We start from the raw sequence: 19,935 nt of genomic DNA on the forward strand, positions 1-19,935 counted from the left end.
GAAAATGATCTCTTATTATATTAGTTTATAATTTCTTTGTTATAGAAATAAATAGTATTTCTTATTTTTAAAAAACTAGTGTTTTGTTGATATATTGACCCCTCCAGAATTTACCTATTTAACACTGGACCTATAAAAATGAATAGAAAATAAAACTAATTTTGTTTTGTAGCTTTTAAATGTGGTCATTTTTAGGGATTTATGCTCACAAAAGCAGAGACAGAAATCATGTTTTATTGTTAGTATGATATCTGGAGTGCTCAATTATTAACTTGAAAATATACAAAATCCCCTTCCTATTTTTGTCTTTTAGAATATGTGATCACCTCTCAATTCACTTGATTTTGATGGTGTTCATTGTGAACTCTGAAAAGCAACACAGGCCTTATTTTAATTTTTTATTTCTATAACTTATACCTCCTTCCAAAAAAGTTTAACAATAAACCATAAAAATATATGTCAACAAAGATATTAAATTCAACAACACAAATTTATTCATCTAAGTAACTGAATAAGACAACAGCAAAGTTAATCTATACTGCGATACTTTTCATTCCTGCCTGATATTTAATAAAATATTATTATTGATATATTCTTTTAGTCATAAGTTGATATATTGATATATCACTAATAATTTTGGTATCTAGAGAACGAATAGTTTCAAATTCAGCTTGTAAACAATTACATGAGAAACACTTCATTCTGTTAGTAATTAAAAAATTTAAATCACAAAAGTACCATTTTTCATCTATTTAATGAACAAAAATATTACAATATCCAACTGAGAACCAGTGAAGAAAATTAATAATATTTTGCATTATAATTTAGCACAATCCTTGAAGAAAGCATTTTTGACATACACATTTTTGTATCTTTGGATATAATAATCTTATTTATTAGATTCTAGCTAGAGAAATAATACAAAATGTGGAAAAATAATATATTCATGAAAATGTTTTAGCTTCGTTTTAAACTGACAAAATTGAAAGCCACCTAAATGTTCAATTTAAAGTATACTGTTTCCCATTGAAAAAATTACAATCCTGATGCCGATGAGGAAAAGGCATCTGATATTAAGATTCAATGCGAAGGAAACAGAATCCTAAGTATGATTACAAATATGCAAAAAGTCCACATAGGGGAAAAATGAAAAGACATACTACAATGCTAATCATTGCTCTAGAAGTAGCATTTCTCCACTAATTTCAGGATATTTGTTTTCTTTATTGCTTATTTGAATAGAAAGTAAATGTCTTGGGCCTGCTTTTATCCCCTTAGGGAGCTGGGAATTTTGCACAATTTATTCTTCTGTCCTATTTGGTTTTGGTTTTGTTTGTTTTTTCTCAGCATAAAGCTATTGTTCTCAAACAACACAGTATCTTAATACTCCATCACTCTTGAATTTTACTTTACTCCTTGAGGAATACCACTTCAAGATGACTGATTACCTTTCAGTAAATGTGTCTGCTCTTTGTTCTAGGAAAGAGAATCATGTGGCAAAGCAATAGAATTGGTTTGCAAATAAACCAAAAAGGTAGTAACTGTGAAGGAGATTCATGTATTTGCTCTAGCTCTTCCTTCTGTCTGAGTCTTGTTTAGTTATCCTGTACTTACTGATTCCAAGTCAGAGCATTCCATTCCAGGTAAACATTTTCTTTGGCTTCTATGTTTATTTCAATATCTAGGTCGTTTCTGAATGCTTAGGGCTTGCTATTGTTTTAAATTGTTAAGAAAAGATACCACACTTGTTCTTAGCCAAAAGACCAAGAAACTATTGCTATCGTTTCAAGTCCTGGCAATTTGTCCACTACAGAAATTCCTAATAATCAAGACGATAAGAATAAAGATGCTTTAATTTGAGAGGGCAACCTCATTTTATTTCTGCAGTCTAATACATATTTCAGCTTATTGGTTAATAGGAAGTATTAAATATGGTATAAATTAAATGCATACTCTTACACTTCATAGACATATGTGTATAATGATACAATTTAGGAAAAATAGTATGTCTTGAACTCAGCCAGACATTCATGGTAAAATATGACTCACCCTGACACTGGAACTTTGACATGAGCCTGTTAATTACTATTGTTCTATTCCCTATTAATCCTTTAAAGTTTTTTTTTGCCCACCCTCAATCCCCTACTCTGATTTATGGACTGCTTTTCATATTTATAAAGTGGTTCATGAATCACCCTGCCCCAACAGAAGTGAATAATAATGGGCCCATTTATGCAACCTTTGCTGTGTAGCTAATTAGCTGAAAATGACTGCCTGGGATTGCACTGAGAAGAGTGTCATTAGCATTCAGCACTAAGTCTACAAAAGAGAGGAGGGAAAGAAAGCAGAAATATGGAATCAAAAAATAAGAATAGCAGTGAGAATGCTATTTACTCAGTGTGATTTTTTTAAAGCATCCTAAAGAACATTTAATGATATCTCCCAATAGCTGAATTGTTAAGTAAGTCACAGGGTATAGTATCCATTAAAATTATGTCCATGGAGCATACCTAAGACTTAAGAAAGTTCTTACCTATAGGTTGACCAAAGTAGCAAATGAAATTGCTACATACAATATAATCTCAATTTTAAGAAGAAAAGAAATTAATAATAAAACTGTGATAATGTCATTATGGGTCATTTTTTCTCTCATCTATAATTTTCTGTATTTTCCAGATGTTTTAATATGGCCACATGTTACTCTGATAATGTATTTGTAATAGTAGTGTTATATGCATTTTTTATTTCTTTGGAAGCATATTGACTGAAAGTGATAGCAGCTACTGTTAATTGAGTGCCTACTGTGTATCAAGCATTGAACTTGTACATGCATATAATAACTCTCTTTTCTTTCCTGTTCCATACCACATTCCACCTGCATCATACCTGCATTCATGAATTATCATAAACCTAGGTTGAGGCACATTTTGTCCAAGTTGCCACCACCCAAATAAGTATAGAACTAAACTGTCTTGCATTGCAATCCTGAGTGATATTTAGGCTTTCTTAATAATGTAAATATTTATCTGATGTAAGAGCTCTGGATTTCTAAAAAAATGGCAAAGGTAATAGTTCTAAATGAGAAATAAGCACACCTTACCTATTTTATAAAACAAGTAGACAGTGGCTCCATCTTCTCTCTTGAGACCTTACAGTATTAAAATATATACATATATATGACAGCATGAATATGTAGCTGGATGTTTTTAATTGCTGTAGCCAATGCTTACAGAATTGCCTGATTCCTGGTTAGTCATATATCATTTTATACTCACTATGTATTTGGTAATGAATGTCATAAATTACTGATAACTAAATTAATACTAAAAATATGGTAAGGTAAACTTTTAATATTTGTGCTTTGTTTAACTGCTCATGGAAGAAATGTTACTGAAGCAAATCTTCTCTGCTTAGATTCATCTGGCCTAACTACAATAACTGGGGAGAACTTAACCCTTGAATCTAGTCTATCTGGGTTTGAATCTCAGCATTACCATAGACTATGTAAACTTGGAAAAATTTATTAATACAGTGAGATGTTAATTTTCTTATCTTTGATATTGGAGTGGAAAAGGCTTCAACATAATAAGGCTATTATAAATAATAAATAATGCACGTGTGGTAAAATAATGCTTTCTCCTCCAAAGATGTCCATGTCCTAAATTCTCTGGACCTGTAAATATTCTACTTCTCATGGCAAAAGGGGCTTTGCAGATGTAACTAAGATAAGGTCTGTGGCCAAGCACAGTGGCTCACGCCTGTAATCCCAACACTTTGGGAGGCTGAGGTGGGCGGATCACTTGAGACCAGGAGGCTGAGGCAGGAGAATAGCTTGAACCTGGGAGGCAGAGGTTGCAGTGAGCCAAGATCGCACCACTGCACTCCAACCTGGGTAACAGAGAGCAACTCTGTCTCAAAAAAAAAAAAAAAAAAAAAAACATGAAAAGAAAAAAAGATGAAGTCCGCTGGAGGACGCGGTGGCTCACGCCTGTAATCCCAGCACTCTGGGAGGCCAAGGCGGGTGGATCATTTGAGGTCAGGAGTTCGAGACCAGCCTGGCCAACATGGTAAAAACCCGTCTCTACTAAAAATACAACAACAACAACAACAACAACAAAATACCAAGCGTGGTGTTTCATGCTTGTAATCCCAGCTACTGGGGAGGCTGAGGCAGGAGAATCTCTTGAAGCTGGGAGATGGAGGATGCAGTGAGCTGAGATCGTGCCACTGCACTCCAGCCTGGATAACGGAGCGAGACTCTGTCTCAAAAAAAAAAAAAAAAAAAAAAGATAGTCGATTATCTTGGAATATCTTAGTGGGCCCAATGTAATCACAAGGGTTCTTATGAAAGGAAAGCAGGAGAGTGAGATGTGCTTTGAAGATGGAGGAAGGGTCCATAAGCCAAGGAATGCAAATGCCCCCTAGAAGCTGAAAAAGGCAGATAAATAAGTTCTCCCTTAGAGCCTCCAGGAGGAACACAGCCCTGCTAACACCTTGATTTTAGGACTTCTGATCTACAGAACTGTAAGCGAATAAATTTGTGTTGTTTTAAGCCACTAAGCTTGTGGTACCTTGTTACAGTAGCAAGAGGAAACTAATACTGTATGTGAGGTGCTTAGTACAGTGCCTGTCATCTAGGATTCTAACATACTACTAGCCAAAGTAACTCTGCCTCTTTAGATCTAGGTAAGAGTAGCTTGAACCCGCAATCCATTATTTGTGGGAGTCCAATGCCCTCCCCGAGATTGCTGAGGCTTTCCAAAGGGCTTATGTAATCTCTGGCTTTGAATTGCTTCAGTTTATAGACTACTGTTCCAATAATGCTGTCAGGATAAGAAGTTCAGCCCCTTCCCAGTATTCCAAGTATAAAAATAAAACATTTACCCAAGGCTTGTGTGTGTGTGTGTGTGTGTGTGTGTGTGTGTGCGCGTGCATACAGGCATGCTTGGTGTGTATCAGGCTTTGTTTGAGTAAATACAGAAAATGTATTATGATTGCACCGCAAAAATTTTAAAATTAAATATCAATATGACCGTTCTTTAAAGTTTTTTACTACTCCAACATTTTGCTTCCTCACACCTAAATTCCTCTTAAATCTCACAAAACAGTTTATCTCCTTTGGTTTCCTTATCATTTATGTCTCACGCTCCCAGGATTTCACCTTCAAATACCAATGTATTTTTCTAAACAGACTAGCCAAAATCCTGTCACAACTATGAAGATAATGCAAATTCTTTTCACCCTATTGCACTGAGCAGTTAATGAGTATTAGCTGCAAAAAATCTATGTACTCTTTAGTCATAACTTAGACTAACCCATCCATCTTCTCTCATCAGTTTCTTTGTGTAATGTAACTAACATGAATTAAAGGTGTATCCAAGAGGCTAAACAAGCCATTCTTCAAACACTCTATTGAGTGATACTGATATCAATCTTGTAACAGCTACTCACTCTCAATTTCACCAATATTAGGAGTATAAATAGGGTTCAGCATTTTTAGGGGATTTTCTTTCACATTTTTCTTTCATACAGATTCTATTAAACTGTACAATTATGTTATACAGAGATGGGGTTTAAAACTTGGGAGTTCTTCCTGATAAAATTCATGATTATAGGAAAACCTCAACTGAGCATACATAATTTGTTAATTTAAGTTCACATTGCTATTTGCAAATGTACCCTCTCCATGTGTATATGTGTGCACACGTGTGTATTTGTGTGTGTGTGTAAAAACCTAGGTTTCAAGATACTTATGGGCCAGGGCTTTTGGATTATGTTTTGTCAGCAATTAGAATCATGCCACCTTCAGACATTAAATATACATGATTTGCTATTACAATGACTCCTAAGGCCAATGACCATGCATCATTAACCTTAATAAATGAATACTACAGTGACATGATTTCTGTTCATTCCAAAGTATCATGAGACCATAGTTTCTAACTAATAGCCCATTATAGTGTTCTGACCTAACTTTCAAAATGTCAATAAATTGGGATTATAATGTAATCCATTCTAAATGTCTTTGAAAGAAGACAGATGAATGTTATGCTGTCATGAGTCTACCTCTGGGAAATCTCTCTGCAGAAGAACAGTCAGTTAATGCTTTTGCCTTTAGCTGGTTTTACCATCCTATACTTTCATTTGCTATCCACCAACAAAAATATTTTCACACACCAGAATGAAAATCTTGAGTTTAAAAAACTAAAGACAGAATTAACAATTCAATCTTTTCAATTTATAATCAGCCAGTTTCAGCCACAGTGTGAGTACATTTCCATGTGGATGTGTTAATTAATGGTAGAAGTGACTAACAACTGTGAAGCAGTCATATTAGGCAAGGAGAACAAATGGAAATACAAGAGCAATCATTCTTAGAGATACTCATTGTTGCTTCTCACCCAGAAGACAAGAGAGCTGAACAGAACTCTGCCCAGGGACATCTCTCTTTTTGTTGATGATCTGGGGAATTCTTGCTGAACAATTTTTTCTCACAAAGAGCTCATACACTCAGCTCACTTAACCATAAGCATTACAGAATCTAGAAATGCCAAACTCCTAAATCAGCAGAGTTCAACACTGTATTACACAGATTTCTATAGCCTAACATAGATTCATGAATATGTGCTTGTGTGGGAGGCCCTGTCTGAGTCTCAATAATTCCTCCCTTCTCAGAGAGTCCTGTGGGTCTTTGGTGACCATATTTGTATTTGTGTATTAGTGCTGTCCTCCAACCCTTACTAAATAGTTGTGGGAGAGTTGGTACCTAATTCAAGTTAGACCAGTGAAATCCTCCTGTGAGTCTGAAATGTGGAACATATATATTCCAAGACGGAAGTTGTTTCAGTACTTTCCAAAGGAAATCAGATGACTTTTTAAGAGTAAGTTCTTAGAGCTATTGATTTCTTCTCTTGCTAAGTTGTGATGATTACTCAATTCTCTTTAATATTATATTGGGATTTGGGAGGAATAAAAGTAAATTGGCCGAGGTGATCGTAGTTTAAAAAACAATGAGTTATGGTAAAGTCTTGGTGTGACATATAGTTTCCCTAGGTGATATCATTTATATTCCTTATAACTATTGATTGTTGAATAGATTGGTCATAATGGCTAGCAACAGTAAATTCAGTTATGCTTCCTAAAAGTTGGGTTTTTTAAAAATTACTCACAACTCTAAGTACCCATACACATGAGACATTAACTAGTTATTTTGTAGACAATGCTAAATTGGCTATGTAAACTACTTTGTAAAAGCTATTGTAATTCACAATTCTGAATCAATGGTTCAATATTATATTTCAATGCATGTCCTGATTTAATAATGGAGTGGTTAACTAACCAGATGACATTTTTTCTGAAAATGGACTAAATAAAGTGAGATGTGCTGACCAGTGGTGCTCAAATAACACTCTCAAGTATCCCTAAGGCTTTTTCTTTAATGGTGCCACAAATATTGGATTCTAATTTTATTTAAAACTATTGTTACTTTTTGCTGCACACCTACAACCATCTGATGCTTGACAAAGTTGACAAAAACAAGCAATGGGGAAAGGACTCTCTATACAATAAATGATTCTGAGATGACTGGCTAGCCATATCCAGAAGATTGAAATTACACTCCTTTCTTACACCATAGTTCCTATTTTTCATCCACATTTAAACAGAAAATCAGGATGCCCTTATAATCACATCTTTTCTAGAATCATGCTTTAGAAAATCATGTGTGGGGCCATCCAACTCAAGATGGATTAAAGACTTAAATGTAAAAGAAAAACTTTGGAAGACAACCTCAGAAATACCATTCTGGACAGAGGATCTGGCAAAGATTTCGTGATGAAGACAGCAAAAGCAATTGCAATAAAAACAAAAATTGACAAATGGGACCTAATTAAACTAAAGAGCTTCTGCACAGCAAAACATCATTAGAATGTTGTTCATCAACAGAACAAACAGACAACCTATAGAATGGGAGAAAAATTTTGCAAACTACACATCTGACAAAGGTTTAATATCCAGAATATATAAAGAACTTAAAGAAATCAACAAGCAAAAAATGAACAAACCCATTAAAAGTAGGCAAAGAACATGAACACCTTTCAAAAGAAGACATACACGCATCCAACAAGCATATAAAAAATGCTCAACTTCACTAATCATTAAAAATGCATATAAAACCACAATGTGATACCATCTCACACCAGTCAGAATGGCTATTATTAGAAAGTAAAAAAATATGAGATGCTGGTAAGGTTGCAGAGAAAAAGGAAAATTTATACACTGCTGGTGGAAATGTAAATTAGTTCAGCCATTGTGGAAAGCAGTTTGGTGATTTCTCAAAGAACTCAAAGCAAAATTACCATTTGACTCAGCAATTCCCTTGTTGAGTATATGCCAAAAGGAATATGAGTCATTGTACCTTAAAGATACATACACACATATGTTCATCTTAGTATTATTCACAATAGCAAGGGCATGGAGTCAACCTAAGTGCCCATTAACAGTAGACTGGATAAAGAAAATGTGATACATATACACCATGGAATACTACACAACCTTAAAAAAGAATGAGATCATGTCCTTTGCAGCAACATGGATGGAGGTGGCAGCCGTTAGCCTAAGTGAACTAACACAGGAACAGAAAACCAAACACCACATGTTCTCACTTATAAGTGGGAGCTAAACATTAAATATTAATATATATGGACACAAAGAAGGAAAAACAGTCACTGAGGCATACTTGAAGGTGGAGGGAAGGAGGAAGGTGAGGATCGAAAAACTACCTATTGGATACTATGACTATTACCTGGGTGGTGAAATAGTCTGTACACCAAATCCCTGTAACATGCAATTTACCTGTATAACAAACCTGCATATGTACCCAAGAACCTAAAATAAAACTTAAAAATTATATAATAAATATTTTAAACTATAATAAGAAGCATTACACTATCACCTGTCCTATGTTACTTTCTTAAATGTCTTAGGTGCTTTTTCTATTGAGGTAAAATATACATATATAATTTACCATCTTTACTACATTTAAATGTATAGTTTGGTGGTAATTAATATACTATATGCTTATTTTTCCTTTCATCACTCCCTTTTTTAGGTCTTTGGTAACTACCACTTTACACTCTATCTTGAGATCCATTTTTTTAGCTCTCACATGTGCATTAGAACATGCAATATTAGTATTTCTGTGCTTGGCTTATTTCAATTAACATAATGGCCTCCAGTTCCATCCATGTTGCAGCATATGACGGGATTTCATTTTTATGGCTGACTAATATCCCATTGTCCATATCTACCACATTTTCTTTCTCCATTCATCTGTTAATAGGCACTTAGGTTGATTCCATATTTGGCTATTGTGAATATGTTGCAATAAATATGAGAATGTCCTATGCCCCATGTTAACACATTCAAGATCACTATATTAACTTGTGCTGCCAGGTTAAATTATGCAGAGCATTGAGCACCAAGTAAAGCTTGCCTTTAATCCATCATTAAGTACTTCTAGAGACCAACAATTTATGGGTGTTCCTAAACCATTTGCAGTGGTATCATTGACTATAAAGGTGATTTCTTGGCACAGGGGTTGGGGCTGTTGTTGTTCCTGTTTTCCCAATTCAGGGTAGCCTTTGCTTGGTTATTTAAGAATTTAGAAGCAAGTACTTCACTATTTATAAGGATTTTCTCAATGCTGTATAAATAAAATGCAATAAAAAATAAATTGGTAATGACAGAGGCTTAAAACCATAATTCTCATCATAATCCCTGCTTTTATATGTATGTGCCCATTAAAATGGATCAACATTAGAACTTACAAGGTGATTTTATATTAACAAAATATGGCTTTTATTTATTTCATTTGTACTTTACATACTGAGGTCCCTTATCAAATTTGTAAACCATCATTGTAGCAGGATGTCTTAACCTTGGCACCATTGACATTTTGGAAAAGCTAAGTCTTTGTTGTTGGGGACTGTCCTGTGCATGGTAGGATGTTTAACAGCATCTCTGGGCTCCATCTACTAGATTCCAGTTTCAAACTTTTAGGTCCAGATATATTTCCAAATGTCCCCAGTGAGGCAAAATCATCTCTGACTGAAAAGCATCAGCTAAATTGTAGAATCACAGGACTTGCCACATTTTAGTAATTCCCAGAGAATATTCCCCTCTTGACAATTTTTTAATTCATAAGAAGCTGTTAAACAAAGAATATGGTAAAAGAGTATAGCAGACAAATGAATTTTTAATATTTATTGTGGGTGTTTTATTTAGGGTGTTTGAATCACTATGAGACTAAAAAAAAGAATGTTGCAGAACTGTATTTTTAGACAACAAAAGATACACTTAATAAAGTGAATAAATTAACCCATATGATCATAGGAACAGAAAGCATAGTGTTTTGTAAAACATTTTGAAAAAAAATTTAATTAAACTTGAAAATTCCTTTTGCTCTGATGTAATGCTTAAATAAATTCAAGTAAATTAACCAATGTCCTAAGAAAGGCTTCAAAAGGTATGTGAAAATGTTCATATCTGTGAGCTTTCATCTTTCATAATGAAAGCCAAAGGAAAATTGGAAAGAGGTAGGGTTTTTCTTTTTCCTTTAGGAAAAAGAAGCCTTTATTGCTGATAGTTTAGCGCAAATGACCAAAGCAATAACTCACCTTGGAAGCCTCAAAAATACTCTGATATATATATATATTCACATACGGTGAATCATCCTTGTATCCCAGTAACAAATCCCTCTTGGTCATTGTACATAATCCTTTTAATGTGCTATTGAATTTAGTTTGCTAATATTTGTTGAGGATTACATTACTTTCATAACTTACGTAACAAATTTATCATTTGCAATAGCCATATTTTAATGATATCCCAGTAAAGCTATTAAAATATTTTGTGACTAAAAATTTTAAAGATAGGCAGATTGAGTTTGAGTCTTAACTTTGTTGCCCATAAGTGGTGTGAGTTTGCATTAATTAAATTATCTTTTTGCAGCTCAGTCCTCTCATTAATCAAAGCACCTACTACACAGCATTGCTGTGAGAATTAAAAGAGATAATGTATGCAAAGCTTTTAGCCCAGTGCCCCATACTTAAGAAGTGCTCCCCAAATGATGATCACTATTATAGCTGTTATTATCTCATGACCCTTTCCATTTTTATTATCACCTTAGCAATGTCTGTGCTACTATCTGCAGAATTTGTGAATGGGAGGAATCTACGTTATACATAAAAGCATATCTTCCTCTCTTGCTGCAGCAAAATACAACATCATCATCATCATCATCAACAACAACAACAAAACCAGCCTTCTGTGACTGATGGTGCCTCACACTTCCCACTATTAGAGAGATTTGTAAGATTTATCTCTGAAACTCTGGTCCACTTACATTCAGCAGGTAGCATATAAGCAGGGAAGAAACACTATCCTAGGATGAGAGTTCATACCATATTCACCACTCCCAGTTGAGCTTTTGTGTTTATTCAAACTCAAGGACCCTAACTCTACATATCCTATCTGGACTTCATTATCTCTCCATTTTCTCTTGCCTGGGATGTTTTTCTGGTCAGTGAAGTGTGAGAGTAACTAAAATTCAGATGGTGAGTCCACATTTACAAGTTTTTGATTCACTTTTGAATTGACAAAGAACTTTTAAAAATGTAACGGTCCTCCCCATAAAGTGTAATCATAAGTTAAACAACACAAAAATTCAAATTAAATGGTTTCTTTTTTATCTTAATCTCCAGGAGCTACAATTTGAAATTTTCTAAAAATACTCTATGCAAATAGAAGCACAGCTGTGTCTTCTTAGGGAGAAAACCTCTCAAGATAGTAGCCTACCACACACACTACTCTGCACCTTGCTTATTTTATTTAACGATGCATCATGAATTTGCTTCTGTATTAATAAATAATAAGCTATCCTTAAAAATGTACTACAATTGTGTGGAAATGCCATAATTCATTTTCTAATCATCCTTTTGTGGGCATTTGTGTTGTTTTCCATTTTATTTTTTCAAATGAAAGGGCTCTGAATATACTGTAGTACTTTATGTACACAGCATATGTACTGTACTACAGTATACTGTATAAGTGTGTATATACATACACACACTGATATATTTACATATACATTTACTTGTATATATATGCATAATCTCTCTCCCTCTCTCTGGGAGTTCAGTACCATGTTGACTAGCAGGGCCAAGAGTGAGCACTCTTGCCTTCTTCCAGATCTTAGAGGAAAAGCTTTAATTTTTCTGTATTTATTGAGATGATAGTGTGGTCTTTATTTTATTAATATGTTGTATCACATTGATTGATTTGTATGTGTTGTTGATTGTTGCATATCCATCCTAGCATCCCAGTAATAAATCCCACTGGGTCATGGTGTATATTGTTTTGACATGCTGTTGAATTTCATTTGCTAGTATTTTATTGAGAATGTTTGCATCTAATTCCATCAGGGATATTGGCCTGTACTATTCATTTCTTGTATTGTGTGTCTGGCTTTGGAATTAGAGTGAAGCTGGCCTCATGAAATGAATTTGGCAGTTTTCCCTATTCTATTTTGTGGTACAGTTTAAGAAAGGTTAATATTAGTTCTTCTCTGAATGTTTGGTAGACCTCATCCATGAAACCATCTGGCCCTGGGCTTTTCTTTGTTGGAAAGTTTTTAATCACTGATTCACTCTCCTTGTTCGTTATTGGTTTGTTCAGATTTCTATTTATTATTGACACAGTTTGGGTAGGTTGTATGTTTTTAGAAATTTATCCATTTCCACCTGTCCATCTAGATTATCCAATTTGTTGACGTATAATTATTCATAATAGTTTCTTAAAATCTCACAAAATTTTGATGCCTTGTTTCTGCCAACTGGTAAACATGATTTGGGGCTAGGAAGCCTGGAAATGAAATGTCATCACTTTTGTAATGTTTTCTTTTTTCTCTCTCCTCTCTATCAGAATCACAACCACAGCTGCATGTATGATGGATCTTCGAAGATATCCATTGGATGAGCAGAACTGCACCCTGGAGATCGAAAGTTGTGAGTTACTTGGACAGGGGAATGAAAAAGAGGGATTCTTCCTTGACCCAGTTGAATTCAACTTCTCACTGAGTTAATTAGCACCAGGATTTTCTAGCTGCGCTTGCCTGATAAGTTTTCAAAGGGTTTATATTGGTAGCTCAAGGGTCATTTCAATGAAGTTATCATTTTGAACAATTAGGGAAAGTTCACTTATTTTAGCTCAACAATTTATAAACTCATACTTTCTCCTTCTCAGAACGTAGTTTCTCCCAAAGCCTTCCAATATCCAAGCTGCATTAAAAAGAAAGGAAAGACATTTTAATATGAAAAGAGTTTGTGAGATTGTTTTGGGTTCTATCATCTGTTGACCTAAACTATTGTAAATTGTCTTTTAGAAAAACATTATGTTGGTGTCTTGTGTGAATAATGTGTCTTTCCTCATGAAAAGAAAAAGATGATAAATTGCACTCATGGGGCTTATGCTTTGTGCCAAAGACTTAATGGTTTTTAAGTCTAGTGACTAATTTTCGTTTGTCCTCTTGGGCTGCTTTTTCACTGATTGTTTTCTTTTCTTTTTTCTTTTTTTTTTTTTTTTTGAGACGGAGTCCCACTCTGTCGCCCAGGCTGGAGTGTAGTGGCGCCATCTCCGCTCACCGCAATCTCCGCCTCCCGGGTTCACGCCATTCTCCTGCCTCAGCCTCCAGACTGGCTGGGACTATAGGCGCCCGCCACCACGCCCAGCTAATTTTTTGTATTTTTAGTAGAGACGAGGTTTCATCTTGTTAGCCAGGATGGCGCTTTCTTAACAATTCAAATATTTTAGTCATGAAGATTTAGTCTGATTGACTATCTTTTTGTGATTATTTCTCAGCCATCAGCCTATAGGTATTTGAGACCATTAATTGTGAATACCAAAGCTAAGCCATTTCTTGGTTTTCAGAGGTGCAAAAAAATGCAGTAGCTAATCAGAACATTACTATAGTACCACTTAATGTAATGTTAGAAATTGACAGATGTTTATTTAGATAGTCTAAAATACTTTCTAGATCTAAACATTAAGAAAGTAAAGGAAAATGGAAAAATTCCAGGTGATTCTATAGTATTGTTGAAGAGTAGTGTCTCATTACTGAGCAATTACATTAACTTTCTAGTTCCACTGTATATATGGAAATAGATGAAGGTGTTAATGTAGATATAATTACAAGTTTACACATAGACATTGACCTACTACCACTAAAACCTAGAATGAACAAGAAAATTCATGAAATATTCTCTAATCAATATTCTAATTTTAAATCTCATCATATAAAGAAGTTATTAAGTATTGAAAGGTGTTTATATATAAAGTATTGATGGTAACTTTTGGTTCAGATATCAAAAATGACCACATTCAAATCATAGGAATGAACTATGTAAACCCAATCATATACTAGTAGCTAATAACATTTTATAAATAAGGCAGAACATTAGTTCGACAAGTAAATCATTACTTTTGGAACTGATATAGAAAGAGAAGGATAACTCATGGATTTCCCATACATATTAGTTGTTTGTTACCCTTGAGCACTCTTCCATTGACTTTGTGATTTTTTTACCTTGGCTTCTGCTGGAGAATATTGACATACAGCAACCTCTTGAAATTCCAAGACCTTATGAATTGTATCATTTGCTTAAAGGAGCAGTGAATTTTGACAAATACTTGAAATTGATTCTGTGTTGTAAATTGTAAGTTCTAAAATTATCAACACTTTCTCCCAAAATGCATATTTTATTTATGATGGATACTGAGTTTTTCTATTATAGGTTGATATTTTTCTTTAAGTTTGAAGATTTCTTTAATCATATTTTTAAAAGATGACTTTAAGTCCATTTAATATAACATATAATGATCAAAACTATAAATGAAGCAGAAATTAAATGTAACTTTTGTGGGGAAGGGATGAGGGAAGCCCAGGCACCCAGATAGCCCAAAGTAATCATCAAATATGATGTCAGATAATAGGTGGTGACCCAGGCATATGACAATCATTGAGGCAGTTTAGCAAGATGCAACTAGTTGTCTAGACATATAGATGAACACAGTAACTGAGACACTAAAATAAGCTAATATGTACAAATTTGAAAAGATGGTAATTATCATCAAAGTGATCCAGCAGCTGGTCACAGAACTACAATTCCTAGATACTTACCTAAAACAAAGCAAAAACTCTTGACTGTAAGAATTTGGATAATGAGGAGTCTACAGAGGCAGGAACTTAGGAGAAAGATTTGCATGACTAAAGCTGGGTATTATATAACACCTTTGTGACATAAGTATTTGTAACAACACTTGAGAGATGATATACTTGAGGCTCAAAGAAGTAAAATGACTTACCCAGAGTCACAGGGCAAAAAAAGTAATGGAGTAAGAATTCAAGCCCAAGTGTTCTTCTCTTCATCATGGAATCCTGAATCAACAGGTGCGTAAGGGACCATGGCATCAATAATTAGAAGTATAGGTTTGTCACGGCGGCTCACACCTGTAATTCCAGCACTTTGGAAGGCCAAGAAGGGTGGATCGCCTGAGGTCAGGAGTTCGAGACCAGCCTGACAAATATGGTGAAACCCCATCTCTACTAAAAATACAAAAATTAGCTGGGTGCTGGCATGCACCTGTAGTACCAGCTACTCAGGAGGCTGAGACAGGAGAATTGCTTGAACCTGGGAGGCAGAGGTTGCAGTGAGCTGAGATCACGCCACCGCACTCCAGCCTGTGTGACAGAGTGAGACTCCATTTCAAAACAACAACAACAACAACAACAACAACAATAATAATAATAATTAGAAGTATAGTGTTAACTGGAAACACTCTTGGCTAGGTTGGAAATGCTGACTCAACCAAAGACTGGTCTGTATTTCCTAAACTATCCCTGATAAAGTTCAGTATAGATCCCAGAAGCTGAATGTTGCTTTTAGATCAAGGGTCAAACAATTGCAGCTACAGAGAGAAGGTAGCTTGTGGATGCAGAAAACCAGGCAGGCCTTGATTCTATTGATGTTACCCTTAAAAAGAGAAGCTTCTGATGACAGCATAATTTAACTTCAACATTTTACTTAAAATGAATCCCTTATTAACAATAGATAAACCAATGTAGAGTTCCTAAATGTTAAGAATAATAATTTTAAAAAGTGAATTAGCATATGCCAATGTGGAGTTTCAATGAGCTTTGCTTGTTTCTACCTAAGTACATAATCAATATGTTGCTAGGTTTTAATAAATACTGAATAGATTATTCATGTATTTTTTTAACTTTTCACAAAGAAACGTGTTATTTTCTGAAACAGCTCTTTCTGACTTGACAGTGTATCAAGACTATACTGAGCCTTAAAGTGATTACAAATGAGAGGCTCTAGTGTCAGTCGGGAAATAAGAATGATAAGGTAGACATCCCACTGATGTAAGATTGAACCAATCGTACGTTTGTGACCAACAGAGTGGAAACTTTGCCTGCATCACAAAATCCACTAGTTCGTATGCTCTCCCATCACAATCTCAAGGCTGGCAAAATGTTTTCCTTGGTTGGGTCCTTTGAGACAAATTAAAGATGTTTTGTTTAACTTGATGTCATCTAATCAAGTAAAATTGAAAAAGCCATAAAGGCTTGTTAAATTGAAAGTTTGCTTGAACTTGGAGCAGATTAATAGCTCTGTAGCCCTGGGATGCTATAAAAGGAGTTAATGGCATATACAAAAATCAATCAAGGAATTTAGTCTAAAGCGTATTTGGAATTTGAAATCAATAGCAGTATCATGTGAGGGTTTGATAGCCACAAGCATCATGGATGTGGAAAGAGCTTGGAGTAATAATGATGAAGGAATCAGGTAGTGCAGATTAAAAAAGATCCGGACCTTAATCTCATCCACTCATTTACAGTAGATGTTGTCACCTCACCACACCAAAATAATAATAATAAAAGAAAAAGCCATTTCAGGCCTGAAATCTCTCATTTTCACTTATCTTCTTTAAACTTTCTTATTCTTCACCACCATTCCGAGTTAGTTCTCTGTATTTCACAGGAAGATGTGTTTCTATTCCTTTCTTAGGCTGGCCCTGCCCGCTGTGCTTAGAATTCCATCTCTTTCTTCCTCCTCTGGAAATTGATTATCTCTAGTCCACACACATACCTCACCCCTGAGCTCTCAGATCCTCAATCCTGCCCTGTCTACCTCTTTTCTCACAGCCTGTAAACAAGCTGAAAACTCTTCTCATCTTAAAACACCTCCACTCTATCCCCACATTTCCCTGAAGGTTTTTTCCTAATCTCTCTTTCTTTTTCTCCAAAGTACTTGAAAGGATAATCTATATCTGTTGTCTATTGCCTCAACTTCCTTTCAACCCACTGCAATCTGGCACCTGCCTACCCACCTCCCGCCTCTGCTAAAACTGTTCTCAGAAAGGTCACAAAGGACCTCTTTACATTCAATCTTATGCTGTGGCTCTCAGATTTATATCTCCAACTGAGATCTCTTCTGAGCCCCAGATTGATGTACTAGCACTCTTCTTGGCATGTCTGTTTTGATGTTTCAAAGGCATCTTGAGTTTAATTTGCTCAAAACTTTATTCTTGATTTTTCCCTTTCAAATGAATTTCTTCCTCAGTCACTTTAATCTCACTATCCGACCATAATCCTGGGATTAATTGTTAACAGCTCCATTTCTCTCAAACTCCGCTGATCCGTTCTATTGCAAGTATCATCTATTCTACTTGCAAAATATTTATCAGGCCCGTCCATTTCTCCCCCGCTCTATTGCCACCAGTCTTTTCCAAACTATCATTACTTTTTACCTGGACCATTGTAGCTGCCTTTTACAGTCTTCTTGCTTTCACTTTTGACTCCCTCTAACCCAATTTCTGCCCAGCAGCCACAGTGATCTTTGCAAGATGTAAATTGGGTCATATTATTTCTCTGCTTTAAAATATTCAGGCCAGTTGCAGTGGCTCACGCCTGTAACCCCAACACTTTGGGAGGCCGAGGCAGGCAGATCACAAGGTCAGGAGTTCAAGACCAGCCTGGCCAACATGGTGAAACCCCGTTTCTACTAAAGATACAAAAATTAGCAGGGCATGGTGGCACATGCCTGTAATCCCAGCTACTTGGGAGGCTGAGGCAGGGGAATCATTTGAACTTGGGAGGCAGAGGTTGCAGTGAGCTGAGATGGCACCATTGCACTCCAGCCTGAGGGATAGCCTCAGACTCCATCTCAAAAAAAAAAAAAAATCAAAGACTTCCCACTACACTGGTAAAACTGTCCACTTCTTAACTTGATCTTCAAGCTCTTGTGTGACTTGACCTTCCTCATTATCTTCCTCATTATCTTGAATCCCATCTGTCATCATTTTCCTCTTGCTTACTGTATACATTACTCCAGCACAATAGACTTTGTTTCTGGCAGACCATATTTTCTCATATCCCATCATCATAACTTTCTCGTTTCTTCTGGCTGAAATGCTTTTCCCCACCATAGTTCTTTTGGCTTCCTCTTCTCATCCTTCAGTCCTCACCTCACATGCCACCTTCGATAGGAGGCTTTCTTGAGACTCCTCCAATCTAAGTTAGGAACCAGTAGTTATTCTCTTTCAAAATTCTTTTTTAGTTTCCCATTGCTATTGTCTGAAAGTTTGTATCCCTCAAAAATTCATATGTTGAAACCTAGCCCCCAATATAATGATATTAAGAAATGTAGCTTTTGGAGGTGATTAGATCACAAGGGCAGAGTCCTCATGAATGGGAAAACAGTAGTCCCCACTTATTTACAGTTTTGCTTTTTGTCTGAAAATATTAAATGGAAAATTCCAGAAATAAACTTTCATCAGTTTTAAATTATACCCTTGATTGGAGCATGATGAAATCGCCTACGATCCTGCTCTGTCCTGACTGGGGCATAAATCATCCCTTTATCCAGTGTATCCACATGTATATGCTGTCTATACTTCCTACCTATTAATCATTGACACCATCTGCTCCTGACATCATCATGGCTTGATGATCCAGGATCACCCAAAGCAGATGATGCTCCCTTTGATATATCTTCAGAAGATCAATAGTAACCAAAAGCTATGTCACAGTGCCTACGTCATTCACCTCATTTTATCTCATCATGCAGGCATTGTATCATCTCACATTACAAGAAGAAGGGTGAGGACAGTACAATAAGATATTTTGAGTGAGAGAGATCACATTCATGTAACTTTTATTACATTATATTTTTATAACTATTCTATTTCATTATTAATTATTGTTAATCTCATACTGTGCCTAATTTACAAATTAAACTTTATCATAAATATGTACATATAGAAAAAACATAGTATATGTAGGGTTTGGTACTATTTGCAATTTCATATATCTACTGAGGGTCTTGGAATATATCTCCTGAACGTAAGGAAAAACTACTACAGTGCTCTTATAAAAGAAGCCCTGAGATCTACCTTGCCCCTTCCACCATATAAGGACACAGCTAGAAGTTACCTTTTATGAACCAGAAAGTGAGCCCTCACCAGACACTAAAATCTGCCAGTACATTGATCTTAGACTTCCCAGCCTATATAACTATGAGAAATAAATGGCTGTTATTCATAAATTACCCAGTTTACGGCATTTTGTCATAGCAATCCAAATGAACTGAGACATCTATATCATAGTAGTATTTGTTTCCATGCTTGTTGTTTCTTTCCCCCATAGATTATAAACTTCCTGTGAGGGAAGGGATCATTGTTTTGCTCACCATTCAATCACTAAACCTAGTCTAGTACCTGAAAATAAATATTTGTGTAGTGAATGTATGCTAAATTTCTTGGCTTCAAACTTTTCAAGTCATTTGACTTTTAGAATATAAGTCTAGTTTAATT

At 35.3% G+C, this 19,935-nt stretch overlaps 1 protein-coding gene across 3 annotated transcripts in view; it reads left to right on the top strand.

The window, feature by feature from the left end:
* Window positions 1-19,935, top strand: part of GABRB1 (gamma-aminobutyric acid type A receptor subunit beta1) — a 432,801-nt gene that overhangs the window by 313,499 nt on the left and 99,367 nt on the right. For all 3 annotated transcript variants that reach the window (XM_024453977.2, XM_024453976.2, NM_000812.4), the window contains one exon: window positions 12,982-13,064. In XM_024453977.2, the coding sequence (XP_024309745.1) occupies window positions 12,982-13,064 (83 nt within the window). The remainder of the gene's footprint in view (window positions 1-12,981; window positions 13,065-19,935) is intronic.

The sequence above is a fragment of the Homo sapiens genome, chromosome 4 (assembly GCF_000001405.40).
Source record: "Homo sapiens chromosome 4, GRCh38.p14 Primary Assembly".
Classification (NCBI taxonomy): Eukaryota; Metazoa; Chordata; class Mammalia; order Primates; family Hominidae; genus Homo; species Homo sapiens.